The sequence below is a fragment of the Homo sapiens genome, chromosome 6 (genome assembly GCF_000001405.40).
Source record: "Homo sapiens chromosome 6, GRCh38.p14 Primary Assembly".
Classification (NCBI taxonomy): domain Eukaryota; kingdom Metazoa; phylum Chordata; class Mammalia; order Primates; family Hominidae; genus Homo; species Homo sapiens.
The window spans coordinates 82,677,723-82,695,275 of NC_000006.12; the positions used below are offsets into that span (position 1 = coordinate 82,677,723).

At 38.9% G+C, this 17,553-nt stretch overlaps 1 long non-coding RNA gene across 2 annotated transcripts in view; it reads right to left on the minus strand.

The window, feature by feature from the left end:
* LOC105377876 (uncharacterized) overlaps positions 1 to 10,762 on the minus strand; it is a 90,717-nt gene extending 79,955 nt beyond the window's left edge. Inside the window, exons 1-4 of one of the 2 annotated variants that reach the window (XR_001744232.2) lie at positions 10,532 to 10,762; positions 8,182 to 8,247; positions 1,130 to 1,249; positions 129 to 317 (exon numbers count right to left, since the gene is read on the minus strand). This is a non-coding gene — a long non-coding RNA (uncharacterized LOC105377876). The remainder of the gene's footprint in view (positions 1 to 128; positions 318 to 1,129; positions 1,250 to 8,181; positions 8,248 to 10,531) is intronic. The other variant, XR_942739.2, reaches the window with a different exon arrangement.
* Between the last annotated feature and the right edge of the window lie 6,791 nt (positions 10,763 to 17,553).

Sequence of the window (17,553 nt, forward strand, 5' to 3'; positions counted from 1 at the left end):
AATTCTGGGTTTTAATTGTGTATTGTTGTCAGGCTTTTTCCAGGATGTTCAAATATACAATTAAAATATATGTGTCTTCAGTGTGATGAAAGAATCAAATTCAGAAAAGGTTGTTGCAGAATTGTTACCAAAACACGAAGGGTCCTGTCTAGGTCCTGCTGTTCATCACACAGAAAGCCAATCACTGAGCCAACAAGTATTTTTAGGGAAGAAGGCTTTAATCAGGTGCTGCAGCTGAAGAGATGGGAGATCAGTCTCAAATCCTTCTCCATGACTGACTATAATTGGGGGTTTATATGCAGGAAATAAGTGTAATCCTGTGTGGGAAAACAGAAATTAGGAAGGGGTAAGAAAGAGGAGTTGGTCAACAGGAAGCAAGTGGCCAGTTAGGCAGTCATGCTAGGTGAGGGGTCTGGCATCTCATTGTCCAGATGTGATAATCTGGTAAGTTTCAGTTCCTTATTACAATCTGGGAGGACTGATGGTTGATTTCCTGAGAAAGGAACTCAGATAAGACAAATCAAACTTTCTCAAGTTTTAAGACTGGGAGGTTCAATTTCTATGTTTACTCAAAAGAAACCATAAACCTCAGGTCTGTAGGACAATTGGGCCAGTTTCAGAATGATGAACTAAAAGAAAAATAAGAATAGTCATCTCCAGAAAAAAAGACATCTCAGGACAGAGATGGGGGCAAAACCTGTACTTCCAAAATTAGTAGATTCTGAAAGAAGTTAAATATAAGGGAATCTAGAATCTCTTTCACTTATAATTTGTAAGAATAATAGGCTGTGATTTTAGACTGTCAGACCCAACTGAGGACATGGCCAAATCTCCTTGAGGGTCAAATGTGGGTAGGGGAGAGCTGGAGGTCAGTGATAGGGTAAAGGGCATTCAGCAGGTTCACGGCTACATTCAGGGGAGATTTAGAATAATCAGCAGTGCCAGCTACAGAAGGATGGGTCTGAAAGAGATAGATTGCTGGAGAAATTGTAAGAGACAGTGGTCATCTCAGGCAGGAATTAAACTTGGTCATCATGACAAAGACCAATAGCCTAAAATAGGTTCATTTCCATTGTGACTGCCTCAGCTCATCTTCTAATCAGTCTCTCTGCCATTCCTATGTACATACCTGGCTTCTGTCTCACTGCCTTCGTGTCATCCTCCACCTCCACCACAGTGCTTCTTCAGTGATGTTTCCAGTGGTGTACCAATGGCAGGACAGTGGGAGCAGTTCACCCCAGTGCAAGCCCTAAGGTGGGCAAATACAAAGGGAATTTAAAACAATAATAAAACTAAAAGTCAGTCTGCCTTTCATCATATCCATGCGTATGTAAGTCTAAACAACATCATTGATACGTTACTCCTACCCCAAAAATACTTTCTTGGCCTAAGTTCTAAACAATTGTGATTACTAATGAGTTTTAATATTGTATACATGAGCTTCAAATTAGCACATTTTTAATTGTGTATTTAGTAGACATTTTACTTTCATAAACATTTTTTACATAGAAATTCATCAGAGAATTTCCAATTGTACAATCAACACCCTAAAATGTGTTTCCGTCATAAGCTTGTAACAATTCAAGTATTTTTCAAGCTCCTTTCAAGAGCAGTTTTTATGTCTAACTTCTAAGGCGTCATACATTCCCACTTTTAAATACAGGCAGTCCTTGGTTTGCACAGCACTGTGGAACTGAAAAAATTGTCATGTAAGCAGAAACCATGCAAAAAGATCTTCATCATCAAAAGGTAGAAGATTCTTCTGTGACTTCTAAACTTTTTGGTTGAGACTTTAAAAGCCCTCTTAATCTCAGTTCTAAAGAATAGAGAAATGAAAAATAGTAAAATTGATATTTGTTTAGTACATTGTAATTTAAAACATTAGAAACATTGTGAATTAGTGTTTTATTTCTTTGTTTTAAAAAAACTTATCACAAGTAGTTTGAATGGTGTTTTCTTTCTTTTTCTCCTACAATTTATTTTTGGAATGAGCATTTTTTTCTATCCCTTGACAAACTGTTAGACTATTTTGAAGTTTGAATCAGCTTCCAACATTTTATCCTTTGCATTTTCAACATCATGAAATATCTCCAAGAGTCCCCTTCATGTGAAGTCCCTGGTGTCACTTCCTCAGAGACATCTTTATATTTCTTTTGTCACATCCACTTGCCTAATTTATGTCCATAAATTCACCTTCACCAAGTTCCTCTGGCTGCATATCTAAGTCTCAAATGATGGCTGTGTCAGCATTCCCGTGGTCAGCTATTTCTTCTAGAACTCCATTCATGTTTGATGTCAGTTTCATTTCTAGCATTATCACTTTTGTTCCTTTGTTACACTTTCATCTTTGTTGACCAATATACTGTTTTGACTATCCATTTTTGTAAAAATATCTTGTGGACTATCACTGGACAAGAAGGATGTAACACAACTACACACTGTACTATCTGTGCATGTACTACATAACAGATGCACGGTGACCAGTCACTAACAGACTCTTAAAGAAGTATCATGATTGGTCACCAATCATGATGTGAATCTTTTATTTACGTAGTGATTTTTGAGCTGAAGGGCTGGCTGTAAAGTCTGTATTTCATGCAATTACTCACAGTTAATAAACTGAACTGGTAACTGAAATGTGAACCTTGTTGTTGCAGGACTGGTGCTATTTAACTGCACTGTGATAACTGAAATTCTTGTCCATCAGAACTGTACAACATAAGGACTGCTAAAGGAGATTCACAACAAACAATGACAGTATAGTGATTTCAAGATGAATAAACAGAACTCGAGTTCCTTCTGTTAGTCATTCTAAGTGACTACTTGGAGTTTTGATTTGTGTTTAATGTTTCAAACAGTGAAAAGAGAACAAACTGTGAGGTTTTTTTGGTAGGTGTAAATTCTAAGCTCATACAGAAAATATTTTATTGAATTTGAATAATATCTTTAAAATTAAAATTTATTCTTATTTTTCTGATTTTTTAAAAAAAATCAGAAAAATATTACTAAAATTAATGTTGTCATATAGAGGAGGCAGTTGTTAAAAAATGATGTATTCTGTGCATCAAATATGATAGGCACACAACTGGATCTTTCTAAAAGACAGATCTGATCTTCTCATTCCCCTGACCAAAAGTTTTCACTATCTTGTTATCATCTGTGTGATTAATTCTTAACCTATATGACCTGCGAAACTTCTCAAAAATACAGATTCCTGGGATTTAACACATAGATTCCAAAGCAGTAGGTCTAGGCTAGGGTCTGAGAAACTGTCATTAAAGCCCATGTGTGGCTCATACAGGTGCTGATCCACTGACATACAGGATTAATTCTAAATTCCTTAGTGTGGAAAAAAAGGGTCCTTAAGATCTGGCCCCTGTCTACCTCTACAGAGTCGTCTCCTGCTACTGGTTTCTCCCTCACATTTTATCGCTTACAACTGCTTATAGCTACTGAGCCAGCCCTAGGTACGTGTTGTTCCAGCTTCCATGGACTGCTCTAGTCCCCAACCCCATGCCAAGGTCCACTTAGAAAACCCTCATTTCCATGTAAGGGTCAGCTCAAGGCTCATGTCTTTCAAGCCTGCCTTCTGTTGGGCTCCCTTGGCTCCTTGTCTATACTCTGTAGCAATTACATCATCACACTGTACTAACTGAACAGTTCTGTGCCAAACTTCTTGAAATGGCATGTCTTTTTCATTTATCTATTTCCAGCATTTAGCCCATTGCCTGATTATTTCTGGGTGTGTCTTTTAGGAATGCTTTCCACTAAAAGTAACAGAAAGCCAACACAGGCTTAAACAAATAGAGGTTTGTAATTCTCAAATAAAAAGTCTTGAGGGAAGTGGCTACTGGTGAGGTTTCATTAGCTCAACAATGTCACGGCTGTCTTTTCTGTGACTCTCTTGGCCTTTCTCTCATACCTGGGGGGCATCATGGTTGCAAGATAGTGGTTGCAGCTCTGCACATCACAGTCACAGGAAGGAGGAAGAAGGTAGTTGTACAAATTGTGCATATGCTGTTTAATCAGTAAAGCAAATCTTTTCAGAATTCTCCTGCAAACTTCTACTAAGAGGTATCATTTGCCAGAACTGGGCCACATGGCCACCACTAGCTACAAGGGGGGCTGGGAAAGAAGAGGATGGGATTGGTGTGATTCACCTAGAACAGGATTGGTGTGATTAAGTTAGAACGTTAGATCAATCATGACCCATGGCCTCAGGTGGCACATCATTGCTGTGAATAAACTTGCAGTTCAATTGGCAAAAAAAAAGTGGAAAAGAATGAGTATACAATTATCAGCTCTGCCACAGTAGGTATTCTATATACTTTATAAGTATAAGCGAGTGAATAAACAAATGCATGAAACATGAAGAAGTAAATATTAATCTTTGCAATAAGGACAGGTAGATAGTTCTTGTAATTGATTAGGGTAGAAAAGGCAAGAGTAAATACAGATGCAGAGTGATACAAATAAAAGAAAACTCAACTCTACAACTTTAAGGCAAAACAAAACAAATAAAGGACATAATTTATGAGTCTCTATATAGCTTCCTTCACTGACAGAAGCATCAGGCAGCTCCAGGCTTATATCCTCACAGGTTCAAGTTCAGGGGAAAGAAAGCACCACAGGAGCCACGAAGAAAGGCATAAGTTAACAATCAGGCTACAGTCACATAGCTACCCTGAATCCAGGGGTCAGGACTAGTCACAGCCAAGACTCACAGACCAAGTAGGAGAAGGGTGGAGAAAAAACAGGAGCTATTATCAGAAGAAAGGATGGATTGGATGACTGGCAGGCAAAAAGAATAGATGCCACCTCAAACAGAACCCACAAATGAGGACCAGGCATTCAGAAATGGCATGAGAAGTTAGCAAGGCAGGTGTATGGGTTCAGAGTCAACACGATTTGATGTCACTGCCCTCCATGTGACACTCCCACATCATTTAGTAGAGGAGCTGGCAGCACCTGCAACACATCATCTCAGCTTATCTTTTCTTGGGTGGTTACTTTTACAAAGCAGCAGTAAGAGGATAGATTAAATTAATCCTTCTCAACTTTTCATCAGAATATCCCCTACAGCCATGAAGGGTGAGCACTCTGGATTTTGGGGCAGAAGGGTGGTGAAATAGAAGGCTGGCAGAATATTTTGGAGCTGTCTGCTGCAAAACTAAAATTTATTTGAAGTCTTGTGCTTTTTACTTAAGATGTTTAACTTTGAATTTTATTCCATAGAATATCCATGTTATTTTTCAAGTGTTTTAACTTACTAATCACTTAATAGTTTCTCAAGTTTTTTTTTCCAAATAAAATTGACACTCCTAAATGACATACCATTTCATTCACTTTGGCACATAGCTATTTACCACTGGACTATACATACGGCAGTTCAAGAAGCATGGGATTAAGTAAACTCTGCACATTGTCTCCAGCCTGTTATTCTCAGGTAGCTCTCATTAGCCATAAATGTTAAATTAAAGCTGTCATTAGCCATAAATGTTAACACAGATGGTCCCCAAATTAGGATTTTTCAACTTTAAGATGGTGTGAAAGCGACAGGCATTCAGTACACCCCTCAACTTATCCAGATAAACCCATGGTAGTCAGGGAACATCTGTAAAATTGCCATCTTTGAGTACCTACCACATTCAAAGCAATTTTATATATTTTCTCATTTAATTTTCCCAATAATTCTGAAAAGAAAATATCATCCCCAAACACACAAGGAAGGTGAAAGTCACAGAAATTCACTAAGTCACTGAGAGTTAGACATTTAGATAATAGGATCGAAACTCAGTACTCTGGCTCTAAAGCCTGTGTCTCTTCCATGTCTTTCTTCCTCTCCTTTCAAATTGCTTCTTTACGCTTGAGGAATATCAACCTTGAATAAGAAACAATCTACAAATTTAAGCAGAATACAGAATAACTAATAATGCATTATCCTACACACACTGAGGCCTCCTGCACTAAGGCAGTGTGGAATAGTGTAGTAGACCTGGAATTAGGAGTCCTAGGTTCTTTTGTCAACCCCACCTATAGCAACCCCACCTATAGCATTGGAAAAATACTTCTCTGGACCTAAGGCTCTTGATCTGCAAAATAAGAGTGAGACCCGGTCATTTTTGCAGTCATATCCAGCTCCAAAGTGCTAACCTTTCAACATCAATTCCTCAAGATTCAGCAGTCTAAGTGCAGACTAACCAAGTCTTATACGCCTATTAAATGTAATATGCCCTCCAAAAGAGATCAGAAAGATTTAATTATAGGCACACTCTCAAAAACGGTATCAGATGAATGCTAACTCCAACCCCAACTTCTGAGAAAATAATCATAACAGCACTAGGATGATAACAACTACTTATTGATTGTTAATCACATCCCAGTTACTGTTCTAGTGTAAGTACTATCTCCTTTAACCTTTGTAACAACCCTACACAAAGTAGATCCCATTATCATTCCCATTTTACAGGTGAAGAAACTAAAGTATGGTACATTTAAGTAACTTCCCAAGATCACATAATTAATGGCAAACTCAGCCATTAATTATGTATAATGTAATGTGTAACGGCAAACCCAGAGTCAGACTCTGTAGTCTGAAGCGAGATGGTCATGAAACACTGTCTCCCTCCTGACCAGGCTGTTCTCATTGAGAAATGTGCACTTGAAAAGCTTCCTGGAGACGAAAGATCTTATCATTAATGCTGCACCATAGATTGATTTAAAACACAGAGTGTTTTATTATGCCAGCAGATGCATGCCAGAGTTGTGACAATGTCCATTAATGTCTAATTGGCTTTGTTAACCTTGCTGGAGTCTGTGGAGATTGCAATGGTGAGGTCTGAGGGAAAAACTGAGCTGGTGGGAAGGAGTCTGGTTGCAGTTAGGAGGCAGGCACCTGATACACAAGGATTCCCTGCATCGTAACCACACGAACACTGATGGGAAAGTAAATTACCATTAGTATTCATCAGCACCAGTCAGACATGCCTAATGATTGGCTTTCAGGTTAAGTAGAGAATACTAAACTTACTCAATAATATTCATTCAGTAGTTGTATTCGCCGGTTTTTACACTGCTGTAAGACACTGCCCAAGACTGGGTAATTTATAAAGGAAAGAGGTTTAATTGACTCACAGTTTCACATGGCTGGGAAGGCCTCAGGAAACTTACAATCATAGCAGAAGGCAAAGGGCAAGGAAGGCATGTCTTACACGGCAGCAGGCGAGACAGAGAAAGAAAGAGAGAAGGGGAGGAAGAGCCCCACACTTATCAAACAATCAGATTTTGTGAGAACTCTTATCATGAGAACAGCAAGGGTAAAATCTGCTGCCATGATCCAATTATCTCCCACCAGGTCCCTCCCTTAACACGTGGGGATTACAATTCAAGTTGAGACTTGGGTGGGCACACAGGGCCAAACCATATCAGTAATGCTTTGCGAGCTCAGTTGAGTAATGCATTTTTTCATGGAGACTGTTTTGGGATGGTGTTGTATGGAATACATTCTGGAAAATTCTGCTCCATAGAATATAGCAAGCTTTGGCCAGCAGACCACCCAAAAATGAACAAGTGCAATAAAGAGTTCTTAGCTTTCTATGCTACTCATCCAGGAGGCGCTGGTGCCCCAGACAGCTGAAGCATTTAAGAGAAAGTAGATTCTCATGTTTGTTGAACCTCACTCAAACCAAGGGCAAGACCGAAATGTCTCCATCAATATGCAAAACTTTTTACTTTGAATTGGACATTTATTATAGATAAGACATTCTGATAGGCACTTTACATACCTTAAATTGTTTAAAGTTTAAGCATCTTTATCATTTTTAGATGTATAAAAGATGATTTTTAAAAATAGAACACTTGCTGGTAACCAACTTAGTGTTAAGATTATTTTCTTAAATTCAACTAGTTGATTAAAATTAGGTGGAGGGAATGAGGGATTGACACGAGGTGATGTCTTTTAATTTATCTACTTAATAGAATTGAAAGATCCCAACAGGTTCTTCCTGCTCAATACACAAACAAAGACCATAGCATTGCAGTAAAGAAAGAGTTTAATGGACACAAGGGTGGCCATGCCATGTGGGGGACAGTTATTACTCGAATAAATCTCATCTTAGGTTAGGGGTTTTCCAAAGGTAGTTTGGGGGAAGAGGTGGAGGTGGCTAGGCAATGGGTACTTACTGCTGATTGGTTGGGGGTGCAATCATAGGGATATAGGAAATTATCCTCCTGCTGGCTGAAGTGCTTCTGGGTGGAGACACAGGAGTGGTTAGCAGGTCCAGGTAGAGCCATCATTGGTGTTAGACATGCAAAAAACCTGAAAAGTTATCTCCAAAGGGCAATCTTAGGTTTTACAATAATGATGTTATCTGCAGAAGTAATTGAGAAAGTTGTATATCTTGTGACCTCCAGAAGAAATGGCTGGCAATGCTCATATGTTAGCAGAATCCAGGCTTTTCTATCTTCCTAGCCTGGTGGTCTCATTAAGCTTTACAAAGATGGCTGTGTTTGGGGGAAGGGCTATTATCATATAAACTATAAATGTCTCCCAAAGTTAGCCCAGCCTATGCCCAGGAACAATTAAGTCAGCTTGAAGGCTAAAGGCAAGAGGGGGTTGTCTAGATCAGATATCCTCCACTGTCATAATTTTCTTACTGTTACTATTTTTGCAAAGGTGGTTTCTGAATTGTCACAAACATCATACCCAAGTTAAATAACTTGCTATTTTCTATTTTTATCCTTCTTTTAAAAAATAATTTTAGATTTTGATTCAAAGATAGAGCTCATTTTTGCCACTGAATTCTCTAAGAATTTCTATCAAGGAGGAAGTCTTGATTAGATCAGTGAATCTCAGATATTTATAGTCCTTGGAAGAAACAGGTTACCAAAAAAAGAGGGAAAATGAAAGATGGTTCCTTTAAGAAATGAACAAAGAAGGAATATACGTCCCAACCACAAGAAGCAAATGGAAGGAAACGGCTGGCTTCAGAATGTTAATATCATCACTGCAAATTAGTTTTCATATAAGTAATTAATCAACTTTTGTCACTTTTTGCGATTCATTGTGAACATTCTGCATGAGGTCCGTCCTTCACTGTGCTACTTCAAGTTTAAAAGCCTGAGGCTTTTAGAACTTGCCTTATGACATTGTCGAGGCCCTTTTTATAGTCTAATTAACATGCCAGAAATTTCAAGCCAACAAAAGATACAATGGTACCATTTTTCAGCTTTGAAGAACTTTTTCATGCCCACTTCAAGCACTTCTTACACTTCTGGCCCTCTCTGCTCAGATACCAACCTCACTGGAGGGACTGGCTTTAAGCTTCATGAAGGGCCCCACCCTTCCTGTTCACTCAGTGGGACCATTCATGAGAGGAAATAATGACATTACATTATGCAATCTTCCCTATATGTAACCTCTCCTAATAGAGCCTTTTTGATGGAATTTTTAGGATCCACGGCCACCAGGATTAAGCTACATACTCTAAGCTAAGGACCACACTGGACTGGAGCAAATATAACAGATCTCAGCACGGATTGCCTTGGTACCAGAGTCCCTAACAAGCCCACATGCTGCCAGTCACACTGTCCACACAGAATCTTGGGGGATCTGGAACACTCCATCCTGGCTTTAAGTTACCACCACTACCAAACTACTGCCCTTTTCTATTAAGGCTTAAATTGCCAATATAGCAATACAGAAGAACCTATACTCACAAGCATTCACTTCTGTTTAAAGGGATGTTTACAAACAACAGGATTTCTTGTTTCTTGAACCTAACTTAGCAGCAAGATGAGTTCTCACCCGGGGGAGAAATTATATATACAATTTATTAGTAGTTCTATTACATATGTAAATGTGCCCATTATAGAATATAAAGAGAAACAGAAAGGAGTAAAATTAATCACTCATAAATACCTATATTAACAATTTAAATAGGCTTCTTTTCACCTTTTTTCTCCTGTAACTTGTATTATAGGAAAATGAAAGTAGTTGAAACTGTAAGTGAATTTTAGCCAAATATTTTTCCTAAATAAGCCAGCCAAAAGATGCTCTCCCCCAAGTCCTCTGAGATCTAATGCTGGACAAGAGGTACTGTGCCCCATCACCAACCACCCACATGGAAGCAGGACTCAGGACATCATGAGCTGCACATTTCTTATTTTGCTCACAGTCAAGCTGCGCAGGCAGAAGGGGTGAGGATTATTAATCAGAGAAAGTGAGATGAACTACCAGCTCTCTCTCCTCTGCTCCTCAAAGAATTCTTTCACTTCCTCTGCCTGTTTCCTGTCCTCACCCAGGGTGGCCCATGTTCTCCCATGGCGCTCTCCTCTGCTGCTCCGCTGCTTTCCTGAAGGGCAGCAAAAGGCCTCCCGGTGTCCACAGCATCTGGTGCTGCTTCAAAGCCAATCACTAAACCAGCCAACTATCTGCCCTTGTGATTTGCCCAGGCGAATCTTCCAAGGCCAGTCGTGTCAAATTGGAAGCTCCGGGAACCTCTGTGCAAATGAATTCTAAAATCCTCCTTACCTTTACAGCAATCTCACAGAGATTTATGTTGTCACCAAGAGGAAAACATAAACCTTTCTGCCGTCACTGAGGTACTCCAAGTGTGACTGCCTTTACTGCAACTCTCCAAGAGTGAACTCTGCATGAAAAATAAAATTTCGGTCTTAACATCAGCTTTACTGTGAAATGGGCTGGAATTCTTCAAGAGACTAATTTATAAATGAATTCCGAGAATCTGAACAAGAAGTATCTGAAAGGGAAAACTTAAACGATACATAAATAGGTGAAAATACGTTCAACCTCATTAACGATCAAAGGTATGCTAAACAAAACATACATGTTTTTGCTTATCTAACTAGAAATGATTTTTTAAAGTTATATTTGATGTCAGTGTAGAATGTTGGGAAACTTGTTAGTCAGGTTTCCCAACATTCTACTGGTGGGAAATTGGTAAAAGCAAATTGGGGAATTTATATTAACAGTAGAAACTATGCATAATCTCTCAGTAAACAATTCTACTTATGATCCTAAGGATAAAATTAGTAGCACGCAAGAAGATTTGATAATAGCAGAAACTGGAAAAATATACAAGAATGAGTAGTTATTAAATATGGTATCTTCACTTGACAGAATACTCTACAGCCATTAACAAGGAGCTGGAGGAAGAGGTTTATACGTGAGAAAAAGCTAGTTATGAAACAACACATACAATATAGCCCCAGTTTAGTGGAAATACATACACCTAGAAAAGGGTTTAGAGAGGAGTCATCAGTGGTTATCTCAGAGTGGGGTGGACACAAGGCTAGCAGGATGGCATGCAGTTAAGAGTAAGGGGATTGAACATACTTGGATGCATATCCTAACTCTGCCACTCTGGGAACTGGGGCAATTTTCTCACAGACTCCTTATTTGTAAAATGGGGATAATGTGACTACTTAGGGCTTGTTAAAGGATTAAAAGAAATGGTTTTAATAAAGTACATAGCACAGTATTTGGTACAAACAAAAACTAACTTATAGATCTGCAGATTTTTTATCTGTAATTATCAATTTTCTATGATAAATACATATTTTATAATGAAAGTCATTTAAAAAATGTAAACAAATAAAGAATTCTAATTAATGATATACACATTTAAGTGATTAGAAGGGAAGTATACTAATGTTTGCAATTTACTTTGAAATACACCAAAACATAAGATGGATTGATGGTGGATACACAAAAGTTTACTGCAAAATTCTTTCAACTTTGTGGTATGTTTGAAAATATAAAATGTTGGTAAAAAGGAATATCACCTTAAATGTATTATCTTTTTTATTTATATAAGTAAGATGGCCGGGCACAGTGGTTCATCCCTGTAATCCCAGCACTTTGGGAGGCCGAGGCGGGTGCATTGCTTGAGGCCAGGAGTTCAAGACCAGACTAGGCGACAGGGTGAAACCCCGTCTCTCTACTCAAAATAACAAAGAAAGAAAGAGAGAGAGAGGGGAAGGAAGGAAGGAAGGAAAAGAAAGGAAGGAAGGAAGGAAGGAAGGAAGGAAGGAAGGAAGGAAAGAAGGAAGGAAGGAAGGAAGGAAGGAAATAAATTAGCTGGCCCTGGTGGTGCATGCTTGTAGTCCCAGCTACTGGGGAGGCTGAGGTAGGAGAATCACCTGAACCCAGGAGGTCAAGGCTTCAGTGAGCCAAGATCACACCATTGCACTCCAGCCTGAGCAACCAGAGTGAGACTCTATCTCAGGAAAAGAAAAAAAAAAAAAAAAAGGAAAAGATCTTCATTTTAACAGAGCATGAAATTAACACATGAAGAAAAAGTTAGTAATTTCTCTAACATACTCCTCACCAATTCCACTCTGCTGGAAAGGTATTTTTTGTATCTTTCCACATTTTTATACTCATAAATTTAAAAGAAACTGTTTTTTCATAAGATTTTATCATTCATATTACTTGCAACCCCTGTTTTTTACATTTGGAAAAGTAATTTTTGTTTAAAAAACAAAGAATGAGATCTACCTCTTACTAATGAACCTATAAATAGCAAATAAATTTTCTTTATACATAAGATAGAAGAACATAGCTTTTTCCCATATGCGGTTTTTTTTATTACTCAAAATTTTAGGAGCCTTCATAGCAAGAGATAAAATACTTTGGTTTTTAAAATACTTTCATTATTGTTATATTAAAATACAACATAGCTTGGTGCCTGCGCATCCTACTGTGAGCTAGCGTTTATTACCGTCTCCTCCCATGGGTTCCAAGTCCACTCACCTCTGTCTTCGGTGGCAGTATTGCTAGCATTACACTTGAGGTCACTTTCTGCAGGCACCACTGTAGCCCAAGATAAAGATAAAAATGTACCTGAGATTCACAGCCTCTGAATATGCAGGACCACAATTCCCATTACATATGTACACTGAATGTGAAGAAAACAAAACAAAATAACAACGGTAACAAAACTGTATAAATATAGCGTGTGTAAGGGGTTGTTATCTACCCCACAGAAGCAGACTGGACTCTACTCAAGATTTCCAAGGAAACTATCTTTTGTTAATGCTTTGAAAATGTCCTCTCTGTTATTTTCTCCGCTTTTTCTTTATGAAACTCCTATTTTCTTAGGATACTGAACCTCCTAGATTAAGCCTTTAATTATCTTAGCTTTTCTCCCTTATTATCTATTTCTTTAATGTTACTTCTTCCTGGGTGTTTTCCTTGACTTCATCTTCTTGAATGATGAGCATTCTTAATTTCAACTATAATTTTTAATTTCTAAGTGCTTTTTGCTCTGACCAGACTGGTTTCATTAATTTGCATTCTTGTTTTATGTCACTAAAGATATGAAAAAGCAATACTTTATAGCATTTTTTCCATTCCTTGATTTGCCTCTGTTAACTCTTAGTGTATTTTTATTATTACCTTTTGGGGCAGGAGTACCTTTACTTTTACCTTTACTTTTACTTTACTGTACCTTTACTTTTCATGTTGAAGGTTTTCCTTAAATATCTGGTTATTTTCTCCTATTTAAAAACAAGACATTAAAATGATGATTGGAAGCCCCACTCTATTGGTGGCATCTTAGTTCATTTTGTGCTGTTAGAACAAAATGCCACTGACTAATTTAGAGCGAACAGAAATGTATTCTGTCACAGTTTAGATGGCAGGGAAGTCCAAGATCAAGGCAGTGGCATCAGGTGTGGGCCTTCTTACTGCATCCTTACGTGATAAAAGGCAGAAGGGCAGGAGGGAACCAGCTCCCTCTGTCAAGGCCTTTTATGAGAGCACTAATCCCATTCATGAGGGAGGAGCCCTTGCAGTTTAATCATCTCTTAAAGGCTCACCTCTTAATACCATCACATTGGTAACACCTGGATTTTGGAGGCGACACATTCAAACCACAGCAGTAGGGCTTGACAACTAGTGAATCTCACTGTAGAGCAATGAGCAGGCATCCAGCTCTTTTAGGTTTTTATTTGTAGGTCTAGTCAGTTCCTGAGATTCCTAAGAGAAGAATCCTCCAATCTCGTCCTTGGGATAGAAGGCTGGCTACTAGTACGCTCAGCTTAGATGATGGAAAACCTCCTCATTAGATACAACATGTTTCTTGTATTTCCCTGGTTTTCTATCCAGCATCGAATCACTTCTCTCATCTGTGCTTGGTATCCACAATTCCAAAAACTGTTTCTGCAATTCCTCTAAGAAATGGATCTCTCAGCTCTCTTAGGGCACAGGAAGGGTAGTCATCTAACTTCTCAGAATGAAGGTGGGCATTGGCATCCAACTGCTCCTTAAACAAATAGTCCCCTTGTTCTCAGCCTCCTCTCTTCCAGGCTTTGGGCTTCCAATTTCTGAGAATTCCTGGAATCTGGCAGGGTAAACTACTGAGCTTCTCAGTGGTAACCTCCCTCCTCCCCTCCACATACACACTTGTAAATTTGACCTTTGATCTGCCCAATGGTTGAAATTCACCCAACCATGTGCAATCTTCATGTGTTATAGTTTGGAGTTTTAGATGTTTCCTGGTTTCATTAAAGATAAAGCTGAGCACCTGTAATTGTGCTGTGGTTGTTACTGTTCTTGTTATTGTGTGGTAACTTCTGAGAGGAGAATTGGGCAGAGACATTGTTACTTTTACCTCCTATCTTATAACTGATAGAGCTTCTTATTAGTAGAGGAAAGATTGTTGTTTATTTTCTTAGGTGAGAATAGAAAATTATTCTCTTCTAGTTGGAAAAAGCCTGTCATATGTATATTTCTTCATATTCTCAGCATGAATTCTAACCTAAATGATTTCTTTCTTTCTTTAGATGCCTAATACATACAAAGTTAGGAAAGCTAAGGCAGGAAGCCAAAAGGAAACACTGTTTTCTTTTTCTCCCTGGCAGTCTCTCAACATTTTGGGCTTCATACACTATCTCCACTAAATAACAGAGGGAGAAACTGAGATAGAAAGTGAATCCCAAAGTGTTGAAGGATATTATGCCATCAAAAGCTAATGTCTGCATGTAAGAAGGGGATTTCAACCCCAAGTTTTCTTTCTAGAATGCTAAGGGCAGGCAGGAAAATTATGAGGAAAGAAAATACTTAGGATTTAGTAAAATAGATACCAAACTTTACATAGGAGTTTATTTCTTCACAATATTTTCTATGTTATATTCTAAGAACAAAAGCACACAATCTTCTTCTGGGTAAGGATAAGCTTTTGTTTGACACACATGGCTCGCATGCAGATCCTGCCACCACCATCTTTCTAATTGGACTGGAGTTCATATCTTTTCTCATTTGGCTGCCATTCATCCAAACTACCTCCCACTCTTCCTTTGTCTAAGAAATTTCCCACTTTGAAAGTCCTGTTGGGAAGGAGAGTTATTTCTCACTACATAGGCTGAGGCACTGAGGCTGTCAGATTCATAATTTCCCAAGTCAATCTTGCAGGTAGAGTGCTGGCACTTGACCAAATCAGGTGCACCTGCTCCAGCCAGCAATGTAAAGGCACAAGGATTTGAGAGGAAGGGAAATGCTGTTTTTGTAGTGCCAGATGCAGCAGCAAAATCAGGTTCCCAGGGCAACAGTAGTATCAGCAGTAAGCACGGCTCTGTGCCAGCAGGGTCTACTTTGGCAACCTAAGTGCATCCACTACCACTCTGCAGCTGTAGTGACAAAGGTCTTTATGGAGCCACTGAGCCTGAGCCAGGTCCTGCAGATTCCTGGTAATTCTATCCATGACCCACTATATTTTCAATAAATCCCCCTTCTGCTTAAGTTAGCTGGAACTAAGACCCTGACTGATACCTGTGGGTTTCATATGATGATTGAAATAACTGAGAGCTAAAGGTGCAACTCTTGACCTATTAAATGACAACAAATACCATACGGGTAAGAATATCTAGCCATACAAATGCTACAGATAGGTAGATATTTCCTTTGGTACCCACACATTTTTTGTTAGTTTGAACAATATAATCCTGTTTTCAGAGTCCTACTCCAAGAAAAAGTGCTAATATTCTTTTAATCTTGCAAATTTCATGGACCAGAAGACTCAGGGTTCTTGGTGACCCCACTAGAAGCTAAGACAATGTGAAATCCCAAATGAGCAAGCCAGCTATTCCTACTCATCATCATAACTGCCTAACTCATCCTTCAGACACCAGCGTGTTCAAGGAGCTCCTCTGGGTCTATACACCTGCATTTAAAATGCATATTCAGGCCAAAAGGAGAGAGAAGGTATGTGCACAGAGGAAATTAATGGCTGTGGGAATCATGTTTGAGCACTCTTTTAGTAAGCAAAGCTAATGAGAGTACCCATGCCCTTTTTTTGTTTAGTAGTGGTGTCCAGGTGGTGGTTTTAGGTATAATTATTATAAATAATGCCAGTTTAAGCTTCAGAGAATCAAAGGTAAATTCCTGAGAGAATTTTATTTTCTCAGGATTTAAATAAGCAACTCAAAAAGAAAAGAGAGGCAAAGGAGAATGTTTTCAATAATAAACAAACAGCTATTTTATAGGAGAAAGTCTAAACAAAATATTAAGAATCAACCCAATGCAATGCAGCAAAATACTTTTGAGAAATGATACCATGTTAGGTGCTGAAGAGTTATAGAGATAAAAAGGACTTGGGCCTACCCTTAACTAAAGTTGACAATTTGAGTGAGAGGTAGCAAAAAGTGGAAAAAATACTCAAATATCAGAAGATAGTTAAGCATGACAAAAGGCAGAACGGGATCAACCAGAAGAGATGTAGCAAGAATCATATTTTTTATTTGTTTTTCAATGTCTGTATTTTTTTACTTCCAAAGCTGCCATCTTGTGACTTTCCACACACCGAGGCTGAGATGCTTACCATTTTCAGGGAGAAGGTAGATCTGTCTAGAATAAAGAAGACACAGGAACATTATGATTTTTTTACATTTAGAGGGTTCACAATAGACAGAAAACCCTCTGGCTTTCAATAGAAAGAGCTGGATGCTTGAAAGAGAAAGCCAGTTTCTCGGGAATCTCAAAGATGGGCTTTGAAATTCCAATTGGCCAAGCCTAGAAGACTGGATTATAGAGTTCTAACTGTAAACACAGAGTATGGAAATGCAGGTTAGGGAATGGGGCAGGCATTTGAGGAAGCCCATCCTGTGGCTGCAGGAGCCGCCCAGAAAATTGAGATGCTTGTCTTGGGCCACCTTGGGGCTGAGAGCCTTGTCGGGGATGTAGAACCCAGGATGGCTGGGAATCCAGAGTGTAGGAGGCTTGAGCATCAGTTCCCTTCAGGACCTCTTGGAGGGGACCTCTTCGCAAATTAACTGAGCCACCCTGGGCCACAGTCAAGTAGAATTGCATTTAGGCTGAGAGGGTCTGAGATAGATCCCTAATCTTTACTCCAGCTCAGAGTGAAACCAATCCAGAAAATCCCTGGAGTCACTGCAGAGGGGCAAGAAAGACATCTGAGAAAAATAAATAAATAAATAAATAACAGAATGTGATGAGTCCTTATGCCTGCTTGAAGAATGCTGCATCATAGGGAAAGGGGACCATTCACAGAGGCTGCAAGGTAGACAGCTCAA